General features: G+C 47.5%; 2 protein-coding genes across 3 annotated transcripts in view, besides 6 other annotated features; both read left to right on the forward strand.

Moving 5' to 3' along the window:
• MRPS17 (mitochondrial ribosomal protein S17) lies at positions 6,168 to 10,791 on the forward strand. The gene is made up of 3 exons (NM_015969.3): positions 6,168 to 6,221; positions 7,470 to 7,609; positions 9,200 to 10,791. The coding sequence occupies exons 2-3, from the start codon at positions 7,487 to 7,489 to the stop codon at positions 9,467 to 9,469; spliced, it is 393 nt and encodes a 130-aa protein (NP_057053.1). The 5' UTR covers positions 6,168 to 6,221; positions 7,470 to 7,486; the 3' UTR covers positions 9,470 to 10,791.
• Positions 6,221 to 6,280: an enhancer, noted in NCBI's record as "active region_26043". NCBI's record gives its function as "activates an Ori minimal core promoter by ATAC-STARR-seq in GM12878 lymphoblastoid cells {active_cell/tissue: GM12878}" and the evidence as "EXISTENCE:reporter gene assay evidence [ECO:0000049][PMID:35858748]".
• Positions 18,536 to 18,615: an enhancer, noted in NCBI's record as "active region_26044". NCBI's record gives its function as "activates an Ori minimal core promoter by ATAC-STARR-seq in GM12878 lymphoblastoid cells {active_cell/tissue: GM12878}" and the evidence as "EXISTENCE:reporter gene assay evidence [ECO:0000049][PMID:35858748]".
• Positions 18,766 to 18,875: a silencer, noted in NCBI's record as "silent region_18192". NCBI's record gives its function as "represses an Ori minimal core promoter by ATAC-STARR-seq in GM12878 lymphoblastoid cells {active_cell/tissue: GM12878}" and the evidence as "EXISTENCE:reporter gene assay evidence [ECO:0000049][PMID:35858748]".
• The window catches only part of NIPSNAP2 (nipsnap homolog 2), a 35,595-nt gene continuing 30,445 nt past the window's right edge, over positions 18,876 to 24,025 (forward strand). For both annotated transcript variants that reach the window (NM_001483.3, NM_001202469.2), the window contains exon 1: positions 18,876 to 18,992. In NM_001483.3, the coding sequence (NP_001474.1) occupies positions 18,901 to 18,992 (92 nt within the window). In that variant the 5' untranslated portion in view covers positions 18,876 to 18,900. The remainder of the gene's footprint in view (positions 18,993 to 24,025) is intronic.
• Positions 18,936 to 19,415: a silencer, noted in NCBI's record as "silent region_18193". NCBI's record gives its function as "represses an Ori minimal core promoter by ATAC-STARR-seq in GM12878 lymphoblastoid cells {active_cell/tissue: GM12878}" and the evidence as "EXISTENCE:reporter gene assay evidence [ECO:0000049][PMID:35858748]".
• Positions 18,936 to 19,918: a biological region, named in NCBI's record as "H3K27ac hESC enhancer GRCh37_chr7:56032587-56033320".
• Positions 19,185 to 19,918: an enhancer, noted in NCBI's record as "H3K27ac hESC enhancer chr7:56032587-56033320 (GRCh37/hg19 assembly coordinates)". NCBI's record gives its function as "activates a minimal SCP1, AML or CMV promoter by ChIP-STARR-seq in naive and primed H9 embryonic stem cells {active_cell/tissue: H9 hESC(naive and primed)}" and the evidence as "EXISTENCE:reporter gene assay evidence [ECO:0000049][PMID:30033119]".

Below are 24,025 nucleotides of genomic sequence, written 5' to 3' on the forward strand. Positions count from 1 at the left end.
AAAAAGCTTACTTTTGCAACCAGGAAAAAAAAAGTATTTTGCAAAGAGTTCTAAAGGCTCCAGCACAAGGCAGTGTATCTGTATCACAGCACAGGTGAAAAACAAGAACAAGATGGAATTCTCAGAAGAGGATGAGCAGAACTTGGACATCCCAGAAAAAAGGTGTCTGGACTGAACCCGACCACAGTTGGCCAAGGACTTTCACCAATTCTTCATACATAGGAATGGTACATTAGAATCCTATTATATATTCCTTAGGGTCACAGATGATTCTGTTTATGTTAATTGTACAGTAAAATTGGTGCGGATTCATTCTCATGTTGTCCTTTGTTCTCTTCAAAATGTTCCAAGTTAAGGAGTGAAGCCTAAATATGTTCATTACATCAAAATACTGGTACCCCCAGTGTACGGGAGCCAGAGGTGTACACATTCCAGTACTTATTTGTTATGACTTGTTTCTATCTAGGAGAGCAATATATTACCCTTTCACTGTATCAGTTTCTTTGGTCCATCCAACCAGGTGTTGTTGTCCTTCTATAAGAAGAAATACTTAAGCTACACATAGTAGTAGATGACTTATTATTCAGGGTTTCTCTGACTGAAATGTCACTATAACATCAGTCATTTGACTCCTAATCCAGTAGATATAAACAGTGCCTGGAACAGTCTATTATAACACTCTGAAAACATTTGGTAAATATATGAATTTTAATAAAAGGAAAGATTGCTGCTCAACACCAAAATCTGTGTGACTATTTCTCATAACCTCAAAGTATTAGTAAACAATCGTCCTGTTCATTGGTTCTTTTATGTCCAAAGAGCTTGTTAGCATGGAGAAAAATACTGATATGATTTGGCTTTGTGTCCCCACCCAAATATCATCTCAAATTGTAATCCCCATGTGTCAAGGGAGAAACCTAATGGGAAGTGATTGAATCATTGGGGCATTTCCCCCATGCTGTTCTTGTGATAGTGAGTGAGTTCTCTTGAGATCTGATGGTTTTATAAGGGACTTCCGCTTCGCTCACTCACACTCTGTCTTGCCTGCCGCCATGTAAGACATGCCTGCTTCCCCTTTTGCCATGATTGTAAGTTTCCCGAGGCCTCCCCAGCCGTGTGTAACTGTGAGTCAAACCTCTTTCCTTTATAAATTACTCAATCTTGGGTATTTATAGCAGTGAGAAAACAGACTAATACAAATACTCATTAGAATTTGTATTTTGATTAATGTTCAGTGTATTTTTTTTTTAGACGGAGTCTCACTCTGTCGCCCAGGCTGGAGTGCAGTGGCACGATCTCGGCTCACTGCAACTTCTACCTCCCAGGTTCAAGCAATTCTCTTGCCTCAGCCTCCTGAGTAGCTGGGACTACAGGCACCCACCACCACGCCTGGCTAATTTTTTGTATTTTTAATAGAGACAGGGTTTCACCATGTTAGCCAGGATGGTCTCGATCTCCTGACCTTGGGATCCGCCCATCTCAGCCTCCCAAAGTGCTGGGATTACAGGCATGAGGTACGACACCTAACTCTGTGTATTTATTTAAGAAAACAATTGATGTTCTTTAAACAGTCAGCATTCCTCTACTTATTTGGACATTTGCAACTAATAAATAAAAAATTAAGAATTTCTAAAATTAGATATGCCTACTCTTTTAAACATTAACTTCAGATGTAAACAGATCTTAATGTTTCATTATATCCAAACCTAAACTGTCAGATTCTATTAAATGCTTTAAACACTTCAAGAAACAGAAAAGATACACCCAGATGTCACAATCATTATACCAAAACCAGTTGAAAAATGTTAACTGCGTGGATTTAATTTTTTTCTTATCCTTATTTGAACACTTTTCCAATTGGAACAGGGTTCCAATTTTCCATATGTTTCTAGGTTTATGTTTTTTTTTTTTGACAGAGTCTCACTCTGTCACCCAGGCTGGAGTGCAATGGCACAATCTCAGCTCACTGCAACCTCTACCTCCCAGGTTCAAGCAATTCTCTTGCCTCAGCCTCCCAAGGAGCTGGGATTACAGGTGCCCACTACCACGCCCAGCTACTTTTGTGTATTTTTAGTAGAGACGGGGTTTCGCCATATTGGCCAGGCTGGTCTCGAACTCCGACCTCAGGTGATCCACCTGCCTTGGCCTCCCAAAGTGCTGGGATTTCAGGCCTGAGCCACACTGCACCCGACCTTTTTTTTTTTTTTTTTTTTTTGAGACAGAGTCTTGCTCTGTTGTCCAGGCTGGAGTGCAGTGGCATGATCTCAGCTCACTGCAATCTCCGTCTCCTGGGTTCAAGCAATTCTTCTGCTTCAGTCTCCCTAGTAGCTGGGATTACAGGCATGCACCACCACGCCCGGCTATTTTTTTTTTTTTTTTGTATTTTTAAGAGAGATGAGGTTTCACCATATTGGCCAGGCTGGTCTCCAACTCCCGACCTTGTGATCCGCCTGCCAATCTTACCAGACCCAAAATAATAATACTGTCTCAAACTAAATTGTAGCATATGCATTAGCAATGCCTCATCCTTGGTCACGTCATCCATAAGACCTTGCATCAATGAAATAACTCTTATTTGGTCTTTTATAACAAAATATCACTTGTAGTGTTGTGGGACATTTTAAGACCTTTTGTATAAACTTTAAATTTTTGAGACTTGAACTTTCCCAAAAGTATCTAGCCATTGTCTGGTCATTTTTTTGACAGGACATAATGATCTTTTTAGCTAGCATTATTCCAAAGCCTTTATATTCCTTATTTGTATAATCAAAAGGCCATCCAGCTCCTTCTTCGTGAAGAGTGCAGTTTTTGTAGTCAGCTTTTCATTGTAGAACATTTGGCTGCTTAATCATTTTGAAACACACTGTTGAATCCTGCTTCTCCTTGGTTATTATTGTATGTAATCATTAGAGCCAATTAACTGTTAGACCGTCTTTCTACTTTGTTGAAGTAACTATTTTAACTGTTAGACCATCTTTCTACTTTGTTGAAGTAACTTTTTCCAAGATTACTTGGCTTGCCTAGCACCCCAATGTTTATTATTTCTTGATTAAACAGGAACAAATCTATATACACATACATATATATGTGTGTGTGTACATATGCTCGTACCTAGTAAGAAAAAAATATATATTTTTAGGTCAATAATGAATAAGGCTGGGTGCAGTGGCTCACGCCTGTAATCCCAGCACTTTGGGAGGTCAGGGCAGGTGGATCATTTGAGGTCGGGAGTTCAAGAGCAGCCTGGCCAACAAGATGAAACCCTGTCTCTACTAACAATACAAAAATTAGCCGGGTATGGTGACGAGTGCCTGTGATCCCAGCTACTCGGGAGGCTGAGGGAGGAGAATCACCTGAACCCAGGATGCAGAGGTTGCAGTGAGCGAAGATCACCCCACTGCACTCCAGCCTCAGTGACAGAGTGAGACTCTGTCTCAAAAAAAAAAAAAAAAGACTATTGTACATTCACATAGTAAAGTTCTGTGCAACTGAAAAGAAAGATCAGCATGTTCAGTACACTCCAGAAGCTGATTTGGAGCGATTCTTCCAGGATATGTTAAGTGAAAAGGGCAAATACAAAGCAGTCTACATAGAATGTTACTTTTGTAAGAGAATATATACAATCTTTGCAAAAAGAAATATAAGCAGGCCAAACCAGAAACTAATAAATTAGTTACCTATGGGAAACAAGAACAAGATCAAAAAGATTGGGAATGGAATGAAATTTCTCTGCTTGTATCTTTTTAAAGTTTTAGTCCTTCCTTCTCCCCTCCCCTCCCCTCCCCTTCCCTTCCCCCCTCCCTTCCCGTCCCTTTTTTTTTTTTTTTTTTTTTTTTTTTTTGAGACAGAGTCTCACTCCCTCACCCAGGCTGGAGTGCACTGGCACCATCTCCGCTCACTGCAACCTCCACCTTCCAGGTTCAAGCGATTCTCCTGCCTTAGCCTCCTGAGTAGGTGGGATTACAGGCGTGTGTCACTATGCCCAGCTAATTTTTGTATTTTTAGTAGGGATGGAGTTTCACCATGTTGCCACAGGCTGATCTCGAACTCCTGGCCTCAGGTGATCCGCATGCCTCGGCCTCCCAAAGGGCTGGGATTATAGGCGTGAGCCACTGCGCCCAGCCTTAAAGTTTTAATTTTTGAACCATTTTAATGATTTACACATTCAAAAAATAAGATTAAAAGGATATGGTTTTTCCTATCCTCGAATACAAAATTGTATACAAACATATAAAAATGAAGGCCAGGCACGGTGGCTCACGCCTGTAATCCCAACACTTTGGGAGGCCGAGGCGGGCGGATCATTAGGTCACAAGATGGAGACCATCCTGGCTAACGCGGTGAAACTCCATCTCTACTAAAAATACAAGAAAAATTAGCCGGGCGTGGTGGCGGGTGCCTGTAGTCCCAGCCACCCGGGATGCTGAGGCAGGAGAATGGCGTAAACCCAGGAGGCAGAGCTTGCAGTGAGCCGAGATTGTGAGCGAGACTCCGTCTGAAAAAAAAAAAAAAATCTAATTGTATAGAATATTGTTACAACCACACAGAAGAAAAAAAAAGAATCCCAAGAAATGTTGAACACAGTGCTGTCATTGTACACTCTAAGGACAAAAAGAACCACAAAAAATAATCTCACGCATCACTTAGAAAGTTTGTTTTTAGTCGGGATATTGTTAGTACAACTCCAAAAGCATATAGTGTATACTATAGGATTTAGCATTAATCATTGATGTTGTCGGGGTAGGGACCAGAGTTCTAACTGTGGAAGAAAGGAGATAAAAATACGGAACTGGTGAAGCAAAAGAAGAAACCCACTGGTGGCTCATGCCTGTAATCCCAGCACTTTGGGAAGCCGAGACGGGCGGATCACGAGGTCAGGAGATCGAGACCATCCTGGCTTACACGGTGAAACCCCGTCTCCACTAAAAAAAATACAAAAAATTAGCCGGCCTGGTGGCAGGCGCCTGTAGTCCCAGCTACTCGGAAGGCTGAGGCAGGAGAATGGCGTGAACCCGGGAGGCGGAGCTTGCAGTGAGCCGAGATCGCGCCAGTGCACTCCAGCCTGGGCGACAGAGACAGCCTCCGTCCCAAAAAAGAAAGAAACCCACTGCTGTTTAAAGGTAGGTGTGTGTGTGCGTGTGTGTATGTTTCAATGTATCGATAGCTACATCTGCTGAAATAGCCTACAGGCAGGAAAATCCCAGTAGCAAGTTGCTCACCTAGCACTCAGAGCTTTGTTGCTAAGTACCACTCCCCACTGATATTTTTCGTTTGAAAAACTTCTGATACAATAACTGGTCAGGGAAAGTATAGGTAAATCTGGACCAGCCAGGCACAGTGGCTCATGCCTGTAATCCCAGAACTTTGGGAGTCCGAAATAGGTGGATCACTTGAGGCCAAGAGTTCAAGAACAGCCTGGCCAACATGGTGAAATCCCGTCTCTACTAAAAATAAAAAAAATTAGCTGGACGTGGTGCCAGATGCCTGTAGTCCCAGCTACTCAGGAGGCTGAGGCAGGAGAATCCCTTAAACCCAGGAGGCAGAGGTTGCAGTGAGTCAAGATCATGCCACTGCACTCCAGCCTGGGCAACAAGAGTGAGACCCTGTCTCAAAAAAAAAAAAAAAAAAAACACTTTTAGGCCAGGCACGGTGGCTCACGCCTGTAATTCCAACACTTTGAAAGGCCAAAGTGGTTGGATCACTTAAGGCCAGGAGTTCGAGACCAGCCTGGCCAACATGTGAAACCCTGTCTCTACTAAAAATACAAAAATTAGCTGGGCATGGTGGTGCACGCCTGTAATCCCAGCTACTTGGGAGGTTGAGGCAGAAGAATCGCTTGAACCCGGGAGGCAGAGGTTGCAGTGAGCAGAGATCGCGCCACTGCACACCAGCCTGGGCGACAGAGCGAGACTCCGTCTCAAAAAAAAAAAAAAAAAAAAGAAACAAAACAAAAGAATGAAAGAAAAGTCCGAAACCTCCTGCGCCACTGTCCACTAGCTGCGCGCGTTAGGAAACCAGAGGTCAGCGCCCCCGACCCCGCCACCGCCGCGGGTCCCTTTAAGGGAGAGTGGGCGGGGTCCTGCCTTTAACTCCGCCCACGGCTAAGGAGATGCACGGCCTACGAGAGGGGTAGTGTGGGACTGAGCCAATGCGTACGGCGTGACGCCATCCCGCTGCGACCGGCGCTCCCCGGGGCAGGTGGCTGCATAGTCTTGGCGGAGGTGAGTCTCGTGGTGGAGGTGAGGGCAGGCTCCGGGGTATTGCTGCCGGGGGAGGATTTGCTGGGGACCCAAGGCACCCTCGCGTGAGAGCCCTGAGAGCGAATCGCTTCGTCTGACCTCGGGGTTGTCTGGGGCGAGGGCACGAATCACCCCAACCTTTCCGAAGCCTGGTGGAATGGCTTGTGAACTGATCTCAAAAGCAGCCCAAGTCATCCGTCGCTGGGCCGGGGAGGGGGACACCGCGGCGGCCCCGCCGAGTGCTACCTGGGCACTGAGCCTGTGGGGAGAGGCGACCCAGCGGGGTGGAGAGAGATAAGGGACCAGTAACGTCCAGCGTTTGTCCGTGGTATTGAGCGTTCTGTGGGTCAAATTCTCAAAGCACTCCTGCGAAATAGGCCTGCCCATTTTGCAGAAGGGGAACGTGAGGCTTGGCGAAGTTAAAGTTACCGCTTTGTAAGCGCTGTAAAGATGAGAGGTTGGGTAGTGGGGAACGTGTAAGCATCTCTGAAATGGTGATTCAAGCCGGGCGCGGTGGCTCACGCCTCTTAATCCCAGCACTTTGGGAGGCTTGAGGCGGGCGGATCACCTGAGGTCAGGAGTTCGAGACCAGTCTGGCCAACATGGTGAAACTCTGTCTTTACTAAAAATACAAAAATTAGCTCGGCGTGGTGGTGCGGGCCTGTAGTCCCGGCTACTCGGGAGGCTGAGGGAGAAGAATCGCTTGAACCCGGGAGGCGGAGGTTGCAGTGAGCCGAGATCGCGCCACTTCACTCCAGACTGGGCGAAAGAACTAAACTTCATCTAAAGAAAAATACATATGGCCGGGCGCGGTGGCTCACGCCTGTAATCCTAGCACTCTGGGAGGCCGAGGCGGGCGGATCACGAGGTCAGGAGATCAAGACCATCCTGGCTAACACGGTGAAACTCCATCTCTACTAAAAATACAAAAAAATTAGCCGGGCGTTGTGGCGGGCGCCTGTAGTCCCAGCTGCTCGGGAGGCTGAGGCAGGAGAATGGCGTGAACCCAGGAGGCGGCGTTTGCAGTGAGCCAAGATCGCACCACCGCACTCCAGCCTGGGCGACAGAGAGAGACTACATCTAAAAAAAAACAAAACAAAACTGTTTCTGGGTGGAGGGGGGAACGAAAAAGAAAAAAACTGTTTCTGGACTAACCTGGACAGTTCTTGTGACAAAATTCATGTGGCATCATAACCACCAGAATATGAGACTTTGGAATTTGCTTTTCAGGTGACCAAAGCCACGTAATGTCCGTAGTTCGCTCATCCGTCCATGCCAGATGGATTGTGGGGAAGGTGATTGGGACAAAAATGCAAAAGACTGCTAAAGTGAGAGTGACCAGGCTTGTTCTGGATCCCTATTTATTAAAGGTGAGAAACATTCTTGTTTCCGGGTGGCTTTGGTAAATCACCACCATGTCCTGGGTCCTAAGCAAAAAAACATTTATCTCTCAGTAAAGATGTCTTGTCTCTCATCTGCTTTGAGCCAGGCATTTTGCTGGTCTGTAGGTATAACACGGTTTACACATTCCAAGAAAACAGTTAATGTCAATCCACTCTAACTGCTGTAGTCATTCTGTATGCAAAGTACTGGCCGGATGAGGTGGCTCACACCTGTAATCCCAGCACTTTGGGAGGCCGATGCGGTTGGATCACCTGAGATCAGGAGTTCGAGACCAGTCTGGCCAACGTGGTGAAACCCCGTCTCTACTAAAAATACAAAAATTAGCTGGGCATAGTGGTGCGCACCTGTAATCCTAGCTACTCTGGAGGCTGAGGCAGGAGAATCTCTTGAAGCCGGGAGGCGGAGGTTGCAATGAGCCACAATTGTACCATTGCACTCCATCCTGGACAAGAGCAAAACTCTGCCTACCATGCACAATTCACAATAGGGTTTGTGCTCCTATAGGAATCTAATGCCGCTGCTGATCTGACAGGAGGTGGAGCGCAGGCGGTAATACTCATGCTGGCTCAACGCCACTCACCTCCTGCTGTGCGGCCCTGTTCCTAACAGGCCACTGAATGGTATCAGTCTGCTGCCCTGGGGGTTGGGGATCCCTGCTTGAACCCAAAGACAGGCTTGGAAACACGGGTAGGGATGAAGACTGGAGGTAAGGGAATGGGCAAAGAGGCTGCTGCAAAAGTCTAGGATGGAAATAAGGACCTGAACTAAAGTTGATGTAGTGGGGATGGAGTGGAAAAAATATTTCAGGAAGGACAGAGTCATTGATTTGTTTGCTGTGCCCAGGGGACGGATAGGTGCCAAGGATGGTTTCACATCCAAAGTTCAGCACACAGGTGGGTACCAATGCTGGTCATTATCAAGGATTAGAAACACAGGAGCAAGCTGAAGAGTGACTGCATGATCCTTGACCTTTGGGAGACCTTAGTTTGAATACTGACTCTTGTTTACCAGCTACACACATGGCTTAACCTCCCTGAACTTTTCTCATATGTACCTGCTGCAACAGGGTTGTTATAAAGAATAGGTGATTCTAGGCTGGGCGCGGTGGCTCATGCCTGTAATCCCAGCACTTTGGGAGGCCGAGGCAGGTGGATCACCTGACGTCAGGAGTTCAGGACCAGCCTGGCCAACATGGTGAAACCCCATCTCTACTAAAAAAACATACAAAAAATTAGCCGGGCATGGTGGCAGGCACCTGTAATTCCAGCTACTTGGGAGGCTGAGGCAGGAGAATCTCATGAATCTGGGAGGCGGAGGTTGCAGTGAGCTGAGATCGTGCCATTGCACTCCAGCCTGGGCAACAGAGCGAGAATCCATCTCACTGGATTGTCTCACTATATCACTCAGGCTCTAATTTTTGTACTAGAAGCCTCCTTAGTATCTTATCTTTTCCTAAGTCCTGGCTTGTTTTCCATACGTTACTTTTTCATATTACATATTACATTACCAGGTCACAGATGGGAACTACTGATTTGCTTCTCTCCCTCTCTCAACAGTATTTTAATAAGCGGAAAACCTACTTTGCTCACGATGCCCTTCAGCAGTGCACAGTTGGGGATATTGTGCTTCTCAGAGCTTTACCTGTTCCACGAGCAAAGCATGTGAAACATGAACTGGCTGAGATCGTTTTCAAAGTTGGAAAAGTCATAGATCCAGTGACAGGAAAGCCCTGTGCTGGAACTACCTACCTGGAGAGTCCGTTGAGTTCGGAAACCACCCAGCTAAGCAAAAATCTGGAAGAACTCAATATCTCTTCAGCACAGTGAAGCGGGAGTGGAAGAAGGATCTAAAGGGAAAAACTGACATGTTTATGTTATGGAAAAAGAAATTTTTCTAAGTTTCATCACAAACTGTGTCCAGTTTCTCTGTGGTGTTTATGAAATAGCTAAAAGCAAATGAAGTAAAGGGCATACTATGGTTTTTCACAAAGGTTTATGGTCGTGTTTCAAATTTTCATCATTTCAGTGAACATACTTCCACGTTACATTAAGTGTGCCTAGCAGTCTGTTGCATTTTGTAAGCTCACAGTTTTTTGTTTTGAGATGGAATCTCACTCTGTCACCCAGGCTGGAGTGCAGTGGTGCAATCTTGGCTCACTGCAAGCTCCGCCTCCCGGGTTCACGCCGTTCTCCTGCCTCAGCCTCCCGAGTAGCTGGGACTACAGGCGCCTGCCACCATGCCCAGCTAATTTTTTTTTTTTTTTTTTTGGTATTTTTAGTAGAGACGGGGTTTCACCGTGTTAGCCAGGATGGTCTTGATCTCCTGACCTCGTGATCTGCCTGCCTTGGCCTCTCAGAGTGCTGGGATTACAGGCGTGAGCCACTGTGCTTAGCAAGCTCACTGTTTTAGAAGGTTTTATTTTTGTCTTTTGAGACAGGGTTTTGCTTTGTTGTGGGGGCTGGAGTGCAGTGGTATGATCTTGGCTCACTGCAGCCTTGACCTCCCTGGCTCTAGCATCTTTCCACCCCAGCCTTCTGAGTAGCTGGGAACACAGGAGCGTACCACTACACTTGGCTGATTTTTTGTAAATTTTGTAGAGACAGGGTCTCCCTGTGTTGCCCAGGTTGGTCTCGGACTCCTGGGAGCAATCTGCCCATCTTGGCCTAACAGTGCTGGGATTACAGGCCTGAGCCACTGTGCCCAGCCGGTTTCCTTTATTTCATTCAAAGGAATTTTGAATTTATCTTAGAACCTTTATTTTGAAGGAAGAAAGTCTTTTTTTTTTTTGAGCTGGAGTTTCACTCTTGTTGCCCAGGCTGGAGTGCAATGGCATGATCTCAGCCCACCACGACCTCCGCCTCCCAGGTTCAAGTGATTCTGCTTCAGCCTCCTGAGTAGCTAGGATTACAGGCATGTGCCACCACGCCCAGCTAATTTTGTATTTTTAGTAGGGATGGGGTTTCTCCATGTTTGTCAGGCTAGTCTTGAACTCCGGACCTCAGGTGATCCGCCCGCCTGGGCCTCTCAAAGTGCTTGGATTACAGGCATGAGCCACTGCATGTAATGACCAGCCACTGGTCAGAATTCTTTCAATCAAGCTGTGTTAATAAGAATATTGATGTGTGGAAAATAAAATTTTACAATTCTGTGCCACTTTTCTTACATCCTAGGCTAGATTAAATAGGTGTAAGTTCCTAAAATCTGACACATTAAGTTGTAGGACTTCTCCCACATGCATTTGGGATGGAGAGTGAGTTTTGTTGCTATTCATTAATATACCACGATAATTTAGATTTTGACTTAAGGAAGCATTGAGCAGTATATTTCCGTTTTCTGGCCCCTAGAAAGAGAATAGGGGACTTTTTTTTTGAGATCGAATCTCCCTCTGTTGCCCAGGTTGGAGTGCAGTGGCACAATCTTGGCTCACTGCAGCCTCCGCCTCCTGGGTTCAAGCAATTCTGCCTCAGCCTCCTCGAGTAGCTGGGGCTACAGGAGTGTACCACCACGCCCAGCTAATTTTTTTTTGTATTTTTAGTAGAGACGAGATTTCACCATGTTGGCCAGGCTGGTCTCGAACGCTTGATCTCAGGTGATTTGCCCACCTCAGCCTCCCAAAGTGCTGGGATTACAGGCGTGAGCCACTGCGACTGGCCAAAAGGGGAATATTTCAATCATAGCTGATACATATTTGTTTGTTTGTTTGTTTTGAGATGGAGTCTCGCTCTGTTGCCCAGGCTGGAGCACAATGGTGTGATCTCAGCTCACTGCAACCTCTGCCTCCTGGGTTCAAGCAATTCTCCTGGCTCCCAAGTAGCTGGGATTACAGCTGCCTGCCACCATGTCCAGCTAATTTTTTTTAATTTTATTATTATTTTTTGTATTTTTAGTAGAGACTGAGTTTCACCATGTTGGACAGCCTGGTCTTGAACTCCTGACCTCAGGTGATCCCATCCGCCTCAGCCTGACAAAGTGCTGGGATTACAGCGTTGAGCCACCGTGCCCAGCCTTGATACATGTATTGTGTAAGCACAGGGTTTCCAGGATGATCACAGGCCTTGCCGGCCTCAGGGATCAATCTAGTTGGGGAGGTATGCACAGGTGCCTCCATGGCAAACAGGATATGGGTGAGGGTGAATTGAAGGTCACTTCTCAGGAGAGATGAGATGGTGCTAGAAGTAAGCATTGAAGCAAGAGTCTCCAGGACAGTAGATGATGGGGTGGAAAGGGCATTTGAGGCAGAGGAAAGGGAATGTAAAATCCACAAAGTGAATGAAAGTATAACCAGGGCTTCCGGAAGCAGATGAGGATTGCTGCAACATTTTCAGCAGTGGTGGAACTCAGAAATAGGTGAAAGTAACTATAAGTGATAGTGGCTGAACGTTTTAAAGAGTGACACAATTGCATTTGCATTTTAATAAAAGTGATTGCGTGATTGTAGAGAACAGACTGGAAGCGGACATGTTAGATAGAGGTGGGGAGACCACAGTTCAAAGACTGGTCCTAAGACCCAAACTGAGTTGTGCAGGGAAGGACTGAGTAACAGCAGTGAGGGACTGAATAACAGGTTCCAAGGCAGAACTGGTGCCAGGGTAGGTGAAGGAAACGGAAGCATCTTAGACTGTCCAGGTCTCTGGCAGGTGGGGCTGTGGGACTGCTTAGCCTGGAAGGGTACATGAAAGTATCAGGCATCTCCCACAAAAAAGAATGAGTTCGGCTGGGTGCAGTGGCTCATGCCTGTAGTCCCAGCACTTTGGGAGGCCAAGGCGAGCAGATCATAAGGTCAGGAGTTAGAGACCAGCCTGACCAACATGGTGAAATCCCGTCTCTACTAAAAATACAAAAATTAGCCGGGCGTGATGGCAGGTGCCTGTAATCCCAGCTACTCTGGAGGCTGAGGCAGGAGAATCGCTTGAACCTGGGAGGCGAAGGTTGCAGTGAGCATTGCACTCCAGCCTGGGCAACAAGAGTGAAACTCCGTCTCAAAAAAAATAAAAAATAAGGCCAGGCGTGGTGGCTCACGCCTGTAATCCCAGCACTTTGGGAGGCCGAGGTGGGTGGATGATGAGGTCAGGAGATGGAGACCATCCTGGCTAACACGGTGAAACCCTGTCTCTACTAAAAATACAAAAAAAAAAAAAAAAATTAGCCTGGTGTGGTGGCGGGCGCCTGTAGTCCCAGCTACTCAGGAGGCTGAGGCAGGAGAATGGCGTGAACCTGGGAGGCGGAGCTTGAAGTGAGTGGAGATTGTGCAACTGCACTCCAGCCTGGGCGACAGAGTGAGACTCCGTCTCAAAAAAAAAAAAAAAAAAAAAGAATGAGTTCATGACCTTTGCAGGGACATGGATGAAGCTGGCCATAATTCTCAGCAAACTAACACAGGAACAGAAAACCAAACACCACATATTCTCATAAGTGGGAGTTGAACAATGAGAACACATGGACACAGGGAGGGGAACATCACACACGTGGACACAGGGAGGGAACCATCATATGTGCCATAAGATTTGCAAGAAATCAAAAAGCATTTAAATATCCACATGGAAGTGAGGCAAGACTGATATCGTAGAAAAGTCAAATCAGCCGGGTGCGGTGGCTCACGCCTGTAATCCCAGCACTCTGGGAGGCCGAGGTGGGCAGATCACGAGGTCAGGAGTTCGAGACCAGCCTGGCCAAAATGGTGAAACCCCGTCTCTACTAAAAATACAAAAATTAGCCGGGTATGAGGGCGCGCGCCTGTAATCCCAGCTACTCAGGAGACTAAGGCAGGAGAATCGCTTGAACCTGGGAAGCGGAGGTTGCAGTGAGCCAAGATCACCCCGCTGCACTCCAGCCGGGGCAACAGAGCGAGACTCTGTCTCAAAAAAAAAAAGAAAAGAAAAGTCAAATCAGTGATAGTAAGAATACGCTTCAGAAGTTCTCTAAGAATGTAGAGGAAAAGGATAAAGAAATGAAAGTAACGAGAATGATAGTTCTGTGAGACTGAATTTTAAAACTCCAATATAAATATAATACATTTTTCAGAATAGAGTAGAACAAAAACAACAAACTAATGAAAAAAAGAAATAGAAAACATTTTTTCTTGACCTTTAGAAAAATCATGTTCTATAAAAAGAGATCCTCACATAGACATATCCTGGCAAAATATGTATTGAAATGCTGGAAAACTTCAAACCATTCCAGGATCTGAGAAAAGTACTTAGAACTGAATGAAAATCAGACTGACCCTGGCTTTTTCTCTGTGATAGAAAGTTCAAGAAAACACCAGAATACCATCTACACAGTTGAGGGGAAGGGTTAGAAACCCAAGGAGTAACCAGAGATTTTGAAAACACACTTGTGTAGTCTGATATCTGTGAAAATAACATGCTTGGCTGTTTTTGCTTTGAGAGTACATATCACTAATAAGCAGCTTAAAAAAAAAGATCACCTTAGTTCAACCATTGTGGAAGACAGTGTGGCGATTCCTCAAGAATCTAGAACCAGAAATACCATTTGATCCAGCAATCCCATTACTGGGTATGTACTCAAAGGATTATAAATCATTCTACTATAAATACACATGCACACATATGTTTATTGCAGCGCTACTTACAATAGCAAAGACCTGGAACCAACCCAAATGCCCATCAATGATAGACTGGATAAAGAAAATGTGACACATATACACCATGGAATACTATGCAGCCATTAAAAAGAATGAGTTCATGTCCTTTACAGGGACATGGATGAAGCTGGAAACCATCATTCTCAGCAAACTAACACAGGAACAGAAAACCAAACACTGCATGTTCTCACTCAAGTGGGAGTTGAACAATGAGAACACATCGACACAGGGCGAGGAACATCACACACCGGGGCCTGTTGGGGCAAGGGAAGGGAGACCATTAGGACAAATACCTAATGCATATGGGGCTTAAAACATAGATGATGGGTTGATAGGTGCAGCAAACCACCATGGCACATGTATACCTATGTAACAAACCTGCATGTTCTACACATGTATCCCAGAACTTAAAATTAAAAAAAAAATTAAAAATAAAGCATCAGACGTCTCCAAGTGGTGCTCCTAGCATATGGTGACACATGTGTCACCAGCTCTGGGATGGAGTCCAAGCCGTCTCTAAAATATTTTAAAGGTTTAAATATTTAAACATTTATAAATAAGCATCATTTATAAATATGTTAAAATATAAATGATGCTTAAGTACCAATGAAGTATTAAAGTATAAATATAAAATTAAAAGCATGTGAAAATATAAATAGTACCTAAGTACCATCAAAGGATTAAAATATAAATGATGATGGCCAGGCGTGGTGGCTCACGCCTGTAATCCCAGCACTTTGGGAGGCTGAGGCAGGCGGATCATGAGATCAGGAGTTGGAGACCAGCCTGACCAACACGGTGAAACCCCATTTCTACTAAAAATACAAAAGTTAGCCGGGGCGTGGTGGTGCACACATGTAATCCCAGCTACTCAGGAGACTGAGGCAGATTCTCAAGGAGAATCGCTTGAACCTGGGAGGCGGAGGTTGCAGTCAGCCAAGATCGTGCCACTGCACTCCAGTCTGGGTGACAAGAGTGAGACTCCATCTCAAAAAAATAAAAAATAAAATAAAATATAAATGATGTATAAGTACCATTGAAGTATTAAAATATGAATGATACCTAAGTACCATTGAAGCATTAAAATATAAGTGATACCTAAGTATCATTCAAGTATTAAAATAGAAATGATACTTAAGTACCATCGAAGTATTAAAATATAAATTATACCTAAGTACCACTGAAATGTTAACATATAAATGATACTTGTTTATATTTTAACACATACTTTTTCCTGAGAGTCTTTGTATAAAACTTATGCTCCAGGAAGACTTGCTATGTTTATTCTATGGCTTCAAATATCTGAAGCCACACAGCTGTGAAATCAGAGTACCCTCTTTTTCCCCAGTAAAAAGTCCTGAGTGAATGGAACTCCACAACAAAATGATAGTGGAGAAAAGCAATGCAGGCTAAGCAGGCTAATACTAAACACAAAAGCAAGGTCAGCAAAGAAGTGTCTAGCTACAGTTTATATTTCAGAATAAATTTAAAAGCAGGTGTCTCATGAAACAGAGCTGAGAAATTGGGGGCATTTGTGACAGTCACAGGAGCTCATCCACCCTTAAAGAGGCCTGGCCTCCTGCTCTGTAGGGCTGGGCCAAGTCCTTGATACCCTGGAGAGAGCTCACTTCTGCCTCTCTTTGGAGTGTGAGAAACACACTCACCCATTCAAACCCAAAGAATGGACTTAGAGGCATGAAGAACAGTGAAAGTGAGACTTTTTTTTTTTTTTGAGAGTCTGTCTTGATCTGTCACTGAGGCTGGAGTGCAGCAGTGCGATCTCAGCTCATTGCTGAGCTGAGATCACCTCCCAGGTGAATCTCCATCTCCCAGGTTCAAGTGATTTTCCTGCCTCAGCCTCCCGAGTAGCTAGGATTACAGGCATGCGCCACCACACCCGGCTAATTTTTGTATTTTTAGTAGAGATGGGGTTTCACCATGTTGGCCAGGCTGGTCTTGAACTCCTGACCTCAGGTGATCCACCAGCCTCAGCCCCCCAAAATGCTGGGATTATAGGCATGAGCCACCGCACCCGGACAAAAGTAAGACTTTTTAATAATGGTTTTGCAAGATCGGATGTGTGATGGGCAGGCACACCCAGTGCAGTTTCAACAATTTATCCCCTAGAGCACAGGTCCCTCCCCAGTTCCTCACAGGCTGAGTAATATGGGGTTGCAGTCTTCCTGGACATCACCTAAGTTCCATTATCCCCTTATTAGGTTACATCTTGTCCTCTTCCCTACTTGAAGTTTCGATTTCCCAATGGCTAAGCTTTCTTTCCTTTTATGGATTAGACACCCCTGCCACTTTTCTCCCTCCCCTCTGACTTCTGTGAGTTTTATCACTCTTCCCAGATGTCTGTACCCGTGCATCTTGTCACATCCACAAGGGAACTGCCCAGACTTGTCTGTTTTCTGAAAATGGACCACTTAAAAAGTACTTCTTACAGGGTTCTCCACAGCTTTACTAAGCATACACTAGTTGAGGCCAGGAGGTCCTCAGCCACACAGCCTCTGGCCTCCTATCCTTGTGTCCCTTGGCCTCCATCCCACTGGCCTCCAAGGGACAGGTGCCTTTCCCTGCTCTGGGGCAAAGCCCTCCTCCATCCACAGGGTCCACCTCTGTCCTCCCTGGTGGCTCCTTGCCATATTAACGTGTTCAAATTCTACCCCAGTCAGAAAACTGCACCCCTTGAGCCCTGATGCTCCCTTGGCCCCCAAGATTACCAGCTTCAGGGAACCTCCCAGTTTTTGTCCACCTTATGACCTCCAAGCAACCCAGTCCTGAGGGCACTTTCCTCTCTGCCTCTGCAGCCCCGCACTGGCCTGGAAATGCTCCCTTTGGTGGCCAGAGCCCCTACTTCTCCCAGGTTCTCCCCCACCCCCAGGGTCCAGCTTCCTTCCTCCTGCCCTCACCTTGGTTGCAGTTTTCATGGTTATATTTGTGGCTTTTTTCTTTTTCTTTTCTTTTTTTTTTTGAGATGGAGTCTCACTCTGTTGCCCAGGCTGGAGTGCAGAGGCACAATCTCGGCTCACTGCACCCTCCACCTCCCAGGTTCAAGCAATTCTCCCACTTCAGCCTCTCGAGTAGCTGGGATTACAGGCACCCGACAACATGCCTGCCTAATTTTTGTATTTTTGTAGAGATGGGATTTCACCATATTGGCCAGGCTGGTCTCGGACTCCTGACCTCAGGTGATCCGCCCGCCTCGGCCACCCGAAGTGCTGGGATTACAGACGTGAGCCACCGTGCCTGGCTCATTTGTGGCTTTTTAAAAAATCTTCCTGGAGGACACATTTTTCCCTCTATAGCGCCAGCCACCCAGATCCACGCCTTTGCTTAAGTTATTTCCTCAAGACAGGGATGCCCTCCCTTCTTCCCCTGGGACTGATATGTCCTGCCAGCTCCTTGGAGAACTTTCTCCCCATCTATCCTCTAATTCACAGCCACCCCCGGTTACATGCTCTCTTTCCGTGCCTCTTTCGTGTCTCATGAACCTGTCCATTTTGACACTTAACACACTCGGTCCAATCATCATTGTACATTCTGTCCCCACTAGACCCAGACGGCCTTGAGGGTAAGGTACCAAGGACTCCCCATGGCCAGTGCCCACCGGTGCTGAAATGAATGGGAACGATGCAGTCCCAAGACCTCAAGAGAACCTTCCCAGTCCTTTCTCCTTAATTTTTTTTGTGTGTGTATGGTGTTTTTTAATTTTTTCCTCACTTGCTTTCTTTTCTTTTCCTTTCTCTCTTTCTTTCTTTCTCCTGCCTCCCTCCCTTCCTTTCTTTCTCCTTCCTTCCCTCCTTTCTTTCTCCTGCCTCCCTTCCTTCCTCCTTTCTTTCTCCTTCCTTCCTTCCTTTCCCTCCCTTTCTTTCTCTCTCTTTCTCTCTTTCTTTCTTTCGCTACAGGACGTCGTGTGTTTGCCCAGGCTGGAGTGCAGTGGCACGATCATAGTTCACTACAGCCTCCACCTCCTGAACTCAAGCGATCCTTCTGCCTCAGTCTCCAGTGTAGCTGGCATCACAGACGTGCTCCTCCATGCCCGGCTAATTTAAAAATGTTTTTGCACAGTGAGGGCTCGCTATGTTGCCCAGGTTGGTCTCGAACTCCTGGCCTCAAGAGATCTCCGGCCTCAGCCTCCCAAAGTGCTGGGATGACAGGCGTGAGCTATTGCGTCCGGCCCCAGAATGCACTTGTTAAAGCGTTGTGGGGCTTTTTGAAATGACAATATATTCATATACTACAAAATTTAAAAGACATTGGCGGGGTGGGGTGGGGGTAAACCCACTGCCACTGCCCCGCCCCAGGCCCTGGATTCCCCTAGGCACAGTGTTACTCTTTCCTTTTGGAGTTTTCCCTGATCATTGAAGTTATGCCCTTGTCCCTTCTGCACCCGCGCTTCTGGGCACCGAGCTCCTCCCGCTGAAGTGATCGGCTTGCACTGACTGCGCTTGGGCTTCGCGCTTTCCCGCAGCGGCCGGGCCTTGGCGCCTGGACGCCCCGCCGACCCCCGCGGCCGCGCGCCCTGCTCCCCCTGGCGGCCGCGCCCCGCACTGCAGTGGCCGCGTTGGGGCCCGGCCGGGGGAGGGGTCGCGCGGCGGCGGCGTCAGCGGCGGCGCCCGGGCGGTGGGAGCCGAGGCGCCGAGCAAGATGGCGGCGCGAGTGCTGCGCGCCCGCGGAGCGGCCTGGGCCGGCGGCCTCCTGCAGCGGGCGGCCCCCTGCAGCCTCCTGCCCAGGCTCCGGTGAGCAGCGCCGCCCTTCCCGGGAGGTGCCGGGGAGGGGCCGCCGCGAGGCGGAGGGCGCGGGTTTCCCGGCGCCGGTCTCCGCCCCGGCCCTGTCCCCAGCGCGGGTGGCTGCCCGGCCTCGGGGCAGTGGGGCCGGAGCTGGGGTGGGGCCGGAGCTGGGGCGGGGTCGGGGCGTCCTCGGGCTCAAGGTCACGGAGGGGACGGGCCGCTCTGCGGCTCCACCCTCGCCCGGGAAGGCCCCCGAGGCTTGGCCCGGAGGCCACATCCTCCCCGCGGCGCTGGCCCGGCCTGCAGGGCCCTGACCGGCGCGACCCGTGGCCAGGGACAGGGACAGCGCGCGCCTGAGGCCGCAGGCCCCGGACGCCGTCTGCTGGGTCCTCGCCGGAGGCTGTTCCAAGCCTGAGTGGCTGCGTCTGCCGAGGACGTTGGTGACCCTGGTCTCTGAGGTGCCGGGAGTAGGGAATAAAAGAGTAAAGCATTGTCCCGGGCCAGCTCTCCGCGGAGCGTAGGGGAAGTTAGAGCTTGGAGGAGGTCAAATCACTTAACGTCTTGGAGTTGAAATTTAAAGCCGGCCGTGGATCTAAAAGTACTTAGAGTTATCAGCACTAAGTTCAGGCGTGGGGCTCTTGTTTAAACTTTTTTTTTTTTCTAACTTCAGTGGATTGGACGTTTGGTTGTCCAAATTCATCACCTTGATATTTGCATGTGCTGTTTTCCACATTCAAACAGCAAAGCCTATCCTGACTTACCCAGAGTTGCTTTCTCGTATTCATTGCTTTGGGTAGTTTAAATTACCTAAGGAACTGTGTGTTAAACTCGCCATGGGCCAGGGAGGTTTCAGTAACATGGTTTATTATTATTATTATTGTTGTTGTTTATTTATTTATATTTTTGAGACGGAGTTTTGCTCTCGTTGCCCCGGCTGAAGTGCAACGGCACGATCTTGTCTCACTGCAACCTCCGCCTCCCGGGTTCAAGTAATTCTCCTGCCTCATCCTCCCAAGTAGCTGGGATTACAGGCATGCACCACCACACCCGGCTAATTTTTGTATTTTTAGTAGAGACGGGGTTTCACCATGTTGGTCAGGCTGATCTCGAACTCCTGACCTCAGGTGATCCACCTGCCGCGGCCTCCCAAAGTGCAGGGATTACAGTCGTGAATCACCAGGCGCGGCCTGATCTTTTTAAAAAGATGAGTCTGACTTGGGAGAGGGGGCAGAATTAAGGGTAGTGGCCAGCTGAGTGGACCCTGGCACTGAGAGTTGAGAGTTTGCAGAGAGCTGTTCTGCCAAAATGTGAGTGCCTACCACGTGCCAGGCACTGTTGACTGTTGAGAGACATCAGTGAATAAGGCGTCCAAGGCCATCCGGAGCTTACCAGTAATTCAGGAGGGCTGGGGAAGAAGAATTCAGAGCAGTTTAGGACCTGGTAAAGTTTGTGAAGGCTGTGTGCTATTCAAGTGGAAACGCAAACAGACAGTTGGCAGTATGACTCCTCAAAGGAGGTGTCTGGGCTACAGGTAACATTTAGGAGTTGTCAGTATATAGGAATGCTAAATGTTAATAGACACATGGATTTCATTATACTGTTTCGTATTTGATTTACGTTTTTCATAATAAAGCCTGGACGCAGTGACTCACACTTGTAATCCCTGCACTTTGGAAGGTTGCGGCAGGAGGATTGCTTGAGCCCAGGAGTTTGAGACCAGCCTGGGCAACATAGTGGAACTCTGTCCCTAATAATAAATAAGTACATAAATAAAAATTTGTATAATGAAACTTTTTTTAAACCATAGGAAGCCGGGTGCAGTGGCTCAGGCTGTAATCCCAGCACTTTGGGAGGCCGAGCTGGGCTGATCGCTTGAGCTCAGGAGTTCGAGACCATCCCAGGCAACATGACAAAACACATCTCTACAAAAAATACAAAAATTAGCCCGGCATGGTGGCACACGCCTGTAGTCCCAGCTACTTGGTAGGCTGAGGTGGGAGTATGGCTTGAACCTGGGAGGTGGAGGTTGCAGTGAGCCGAGATCATGCCACTGCGTTCCAGCCTAGGTGACAGAGCCAGACCCTGTCTCCAAAATAAAACAAACAAAAAAATATAGGAATGTGTGAGATTGCTTGAGGCGAGAGTGTGGAGAGAGAAGGGGCTGCAAAGCAAGTCCTGGGATGTGCAGCGTATATAGGCTGAATGTAGGAGGGGGAGCTGGCAAGCTCATTGTTATGTGGCAGTGGCCAGGAGGAGGGAGGGAGTGCCATCCGCTGCCAAAGTGTTAGGTAAAATGACAGAAGAAAACAGGATTTGCTGAATCAGTTTCAGCAAGGGAGAAGGGCGTCCTCCCGGGAGCCTCATCCCTGCCTGTACATTAGCCAGCGTATTTCACTTAGTGCTGCTCAGCAGCAAGCTTGGAATTCCCAGCCGCTTCCTGGACATTGCATAAGTGTCTCACAGGTGCTTAAAACACTGCTGTACCCAGGATTTAACTCCTCTTCCTTCTGTGAAGCCTGCTTTTCTTTGGTTGTTCTTCTCCAGTCATGAAACATTTTCCATGTGGTGGCCCAGGCCAGACACCAGATGGTCTTCCCCAAGCCCATCCCTCTTTTTCCCGCCATCTATCATTTACCAAATCTGTCAGTTCTGCCTCTAGTATGTCTTGAATCCACCCTCTCCATCTTCACTGCCCTAGCTCAACCCTCAGCAATACTCGTCTGGATTCCTACGAAGAGTGTGGGCTCGAACCTGTTAGTGAAGGGGATGACTAAAGAATTTTTTTTTTTCCTTGGAGATAGTCTTGCCCTGTTGCCCAGGCTGGAGTTTAATGGCATGACCACGGCTCACTGCAGCCTTGACCTTCCGGACTTAAGGGATCTTCCCACCTCAGCCTCCCAAGTAGCTGGGACTACAGGCCCACACCACCATGCCCAGCTATTATTTATTTATTTATTTATTTATTTATTTATTTGAGACAGAGTGTCACTCTGTTGCCCAGGCTGGAGTTCAGTGGCGTGATCTCGGCTCCCTGCAACCTCCACCTCCTGGGTTCAAGCAGTTCTCCTGTCTCAGCTACCTGAACAGCTGGGACTTACAGGCGTGCACCACCACGCCTGGATAATTTTTGTATTTTTAGTAGAGATGGGGTTTCTCCATGTTGCCCAGGCTGGTCTCAAACTCCTGGCCTCAAGTGATCCTCCCACCACGGCCTCCCAAAGTGCTGGCATTACAGGGATGAATCACCACACCCGGCTGCTAATTTTTAATTTTTTTGTAGAGAGGGGGGTCTTGCTATGTTCCCCAGGCTAGTCTCAAACTCCTGGCCTCAAGCAGTCCTCCCACCCTCCGCCTCCCAAAGTTCTAGGATTATAGGTGTGAGCCATTGTGCCCAGCCACACGTCTAAAGAATTCTAAGCGGACATTTTCCTAGTAGAAAGATCTCTATGACACAAACCTTGACTGGTTCCTAATCCCTCCTCCCTGTCTGCCCCCATTCCCCTACCCACAAGAGCAATGAAAGACATTTTGGGGAGAACTGGGGATATTTTAATAGGGAGTGGATATTAGATATGATGGAATAATTGTTTTTCTCAGATGTGATGATAGCATTGTAGTTCTGTCATTGTGTTTTGGAGGTACATGCTGAAGGATTTACGGGAGAAGTATCATTATGTCCAAACTCTACTTTCTTTTTTTTTTTTTTTTCCTGAGACAGAGTCTCGCTCTGTCACCCAGGCCGGAGTGCAGTGGGGTGATCTCGGCTCGCTGCAACCTCTGCCTCCCGGGTTCAAGTGATTCTCCTGTCTCAGCCTCCCGATTAGCTGGGACTACAGGCGTGCGCCACCACAACCAGCTAATTTTTTTGTATTTTTAATAGAGATGGGGTTTCACCATTTGGCCAGGATGGTCTCGATCTCCTGACCTCGTGATCTGCCCGCCTTGGCCTGCTTTGGTCTCCCAAAGTGGTGGGATTATAGGCGTGAGCCACTGCCCCCAGCCCAAAACTCTACTTTCAAATGGTTCAGTAGAAATTAAAAAGCAAATATAGGGCCGGGTGTGGTGGTTCACACCTGTAATCCTAGCACTGTAGGAGGCCAAGGCTCACGGATCACATGAGGCCAGAAGCTCAAGACCAGCGTGGACAACATGATGAAACCCTGTCTCTACTAAAACTACAACATTTAGCAGGGTAACTACAACATTTAGCAGGGTGTGGTGGTGCAGGGCTGTAGTCCCAGCTATACAGGTGGCTGAAGCAAGGTAATTGCTCGAGCGCAGGAGGTGGAGGCTGAAGTGAGCCGAGATCGCGCCACTGCCCTCCAGCTGACATGAGAGAACAAGGCCCTGTCTGAAAAAAAAAAGAAAAAAAGAAATTAAAAAGCAAATATATATAGAGAAAAACTTTTAATGGTAAAATGTTCATTTTTAAAATCTAGATGCAGGGCAGAAAAGTCTTGTCATGTTTAAACTCCTCTGGGTTTGAAGTTTCTGGAAATGAAAGGTGTGGGAACAGGTCTCTGGAGCAGCAGTGTGGAAGACGGGGTACTGGGGCTGGATGGAGTGTGGTGGTGGGGAGGGGAGTCAGGGAGCTGCTGCTTTAAGGCAGGAGTCTTCTTGGCATGGGTCTGTCAACCTCTTCTCTCCCCCGGGTCTGTGCTTCCAAATGCTGGTGCTGTTTGCACACTTGTGTCTTTGGCCTTCACTGGTTCTGCTTAGAATCTCCCTTCCATGGGTATCTACCTGACCATCTGCTCCTCTTCTTTCCAGTCTTCCACTCAACAGGTACTTCGTTAGAGCAGGCCCCCAGGCTGCCCTTACCCATGCCACAACAGCTACCTACTTCCTTGTGTCATCATTGAAGAGCTTGTCTGTTTGAGTTGTGATCGTGTTTGTCTGTCTGCCCTCACCAGCAAACTGAGCTCCCGTGAAGTCAGGGCCAGGTTCATCTGTGCATCGTCAGTGGCTGACAGGTGTAGTGCACAGTCTGTAAATAACAGTGATCATATTGCCGGGCGCGGTGGCTCACGCCTGTAATCCCA

This window comes from Homo sapiens, chromosome 7 (assembly GCF_000001405.40).
Source record: "Homo sapiens chromosome 7, GRCh38.p14 Primary Assembly".
Taxonomy (NCBI): domain Eukaryota; kingdom Metazoa; phylum Chordata; class Mammalia; order Primates; family Hominidae; genus Homo; species Homo sapiens.

Excerpts from the sequence above, each read along its gene's own strand:
- MRPS17 (NM_015969.3), top strand. The coding sequence starts at position 7,487 with ATGTCCGTAGTTCGCTCATCCGTCCATGCCAGATGGATTGTGGGGAAG. Across the intron at positions 7,610-9,199 it reads TGGATCCCTATTTATTAAAG|TATTTTAATAAGCGGAAAAC; the intron begins GTGAGAAACATT and ends CTCTCTCAACAG.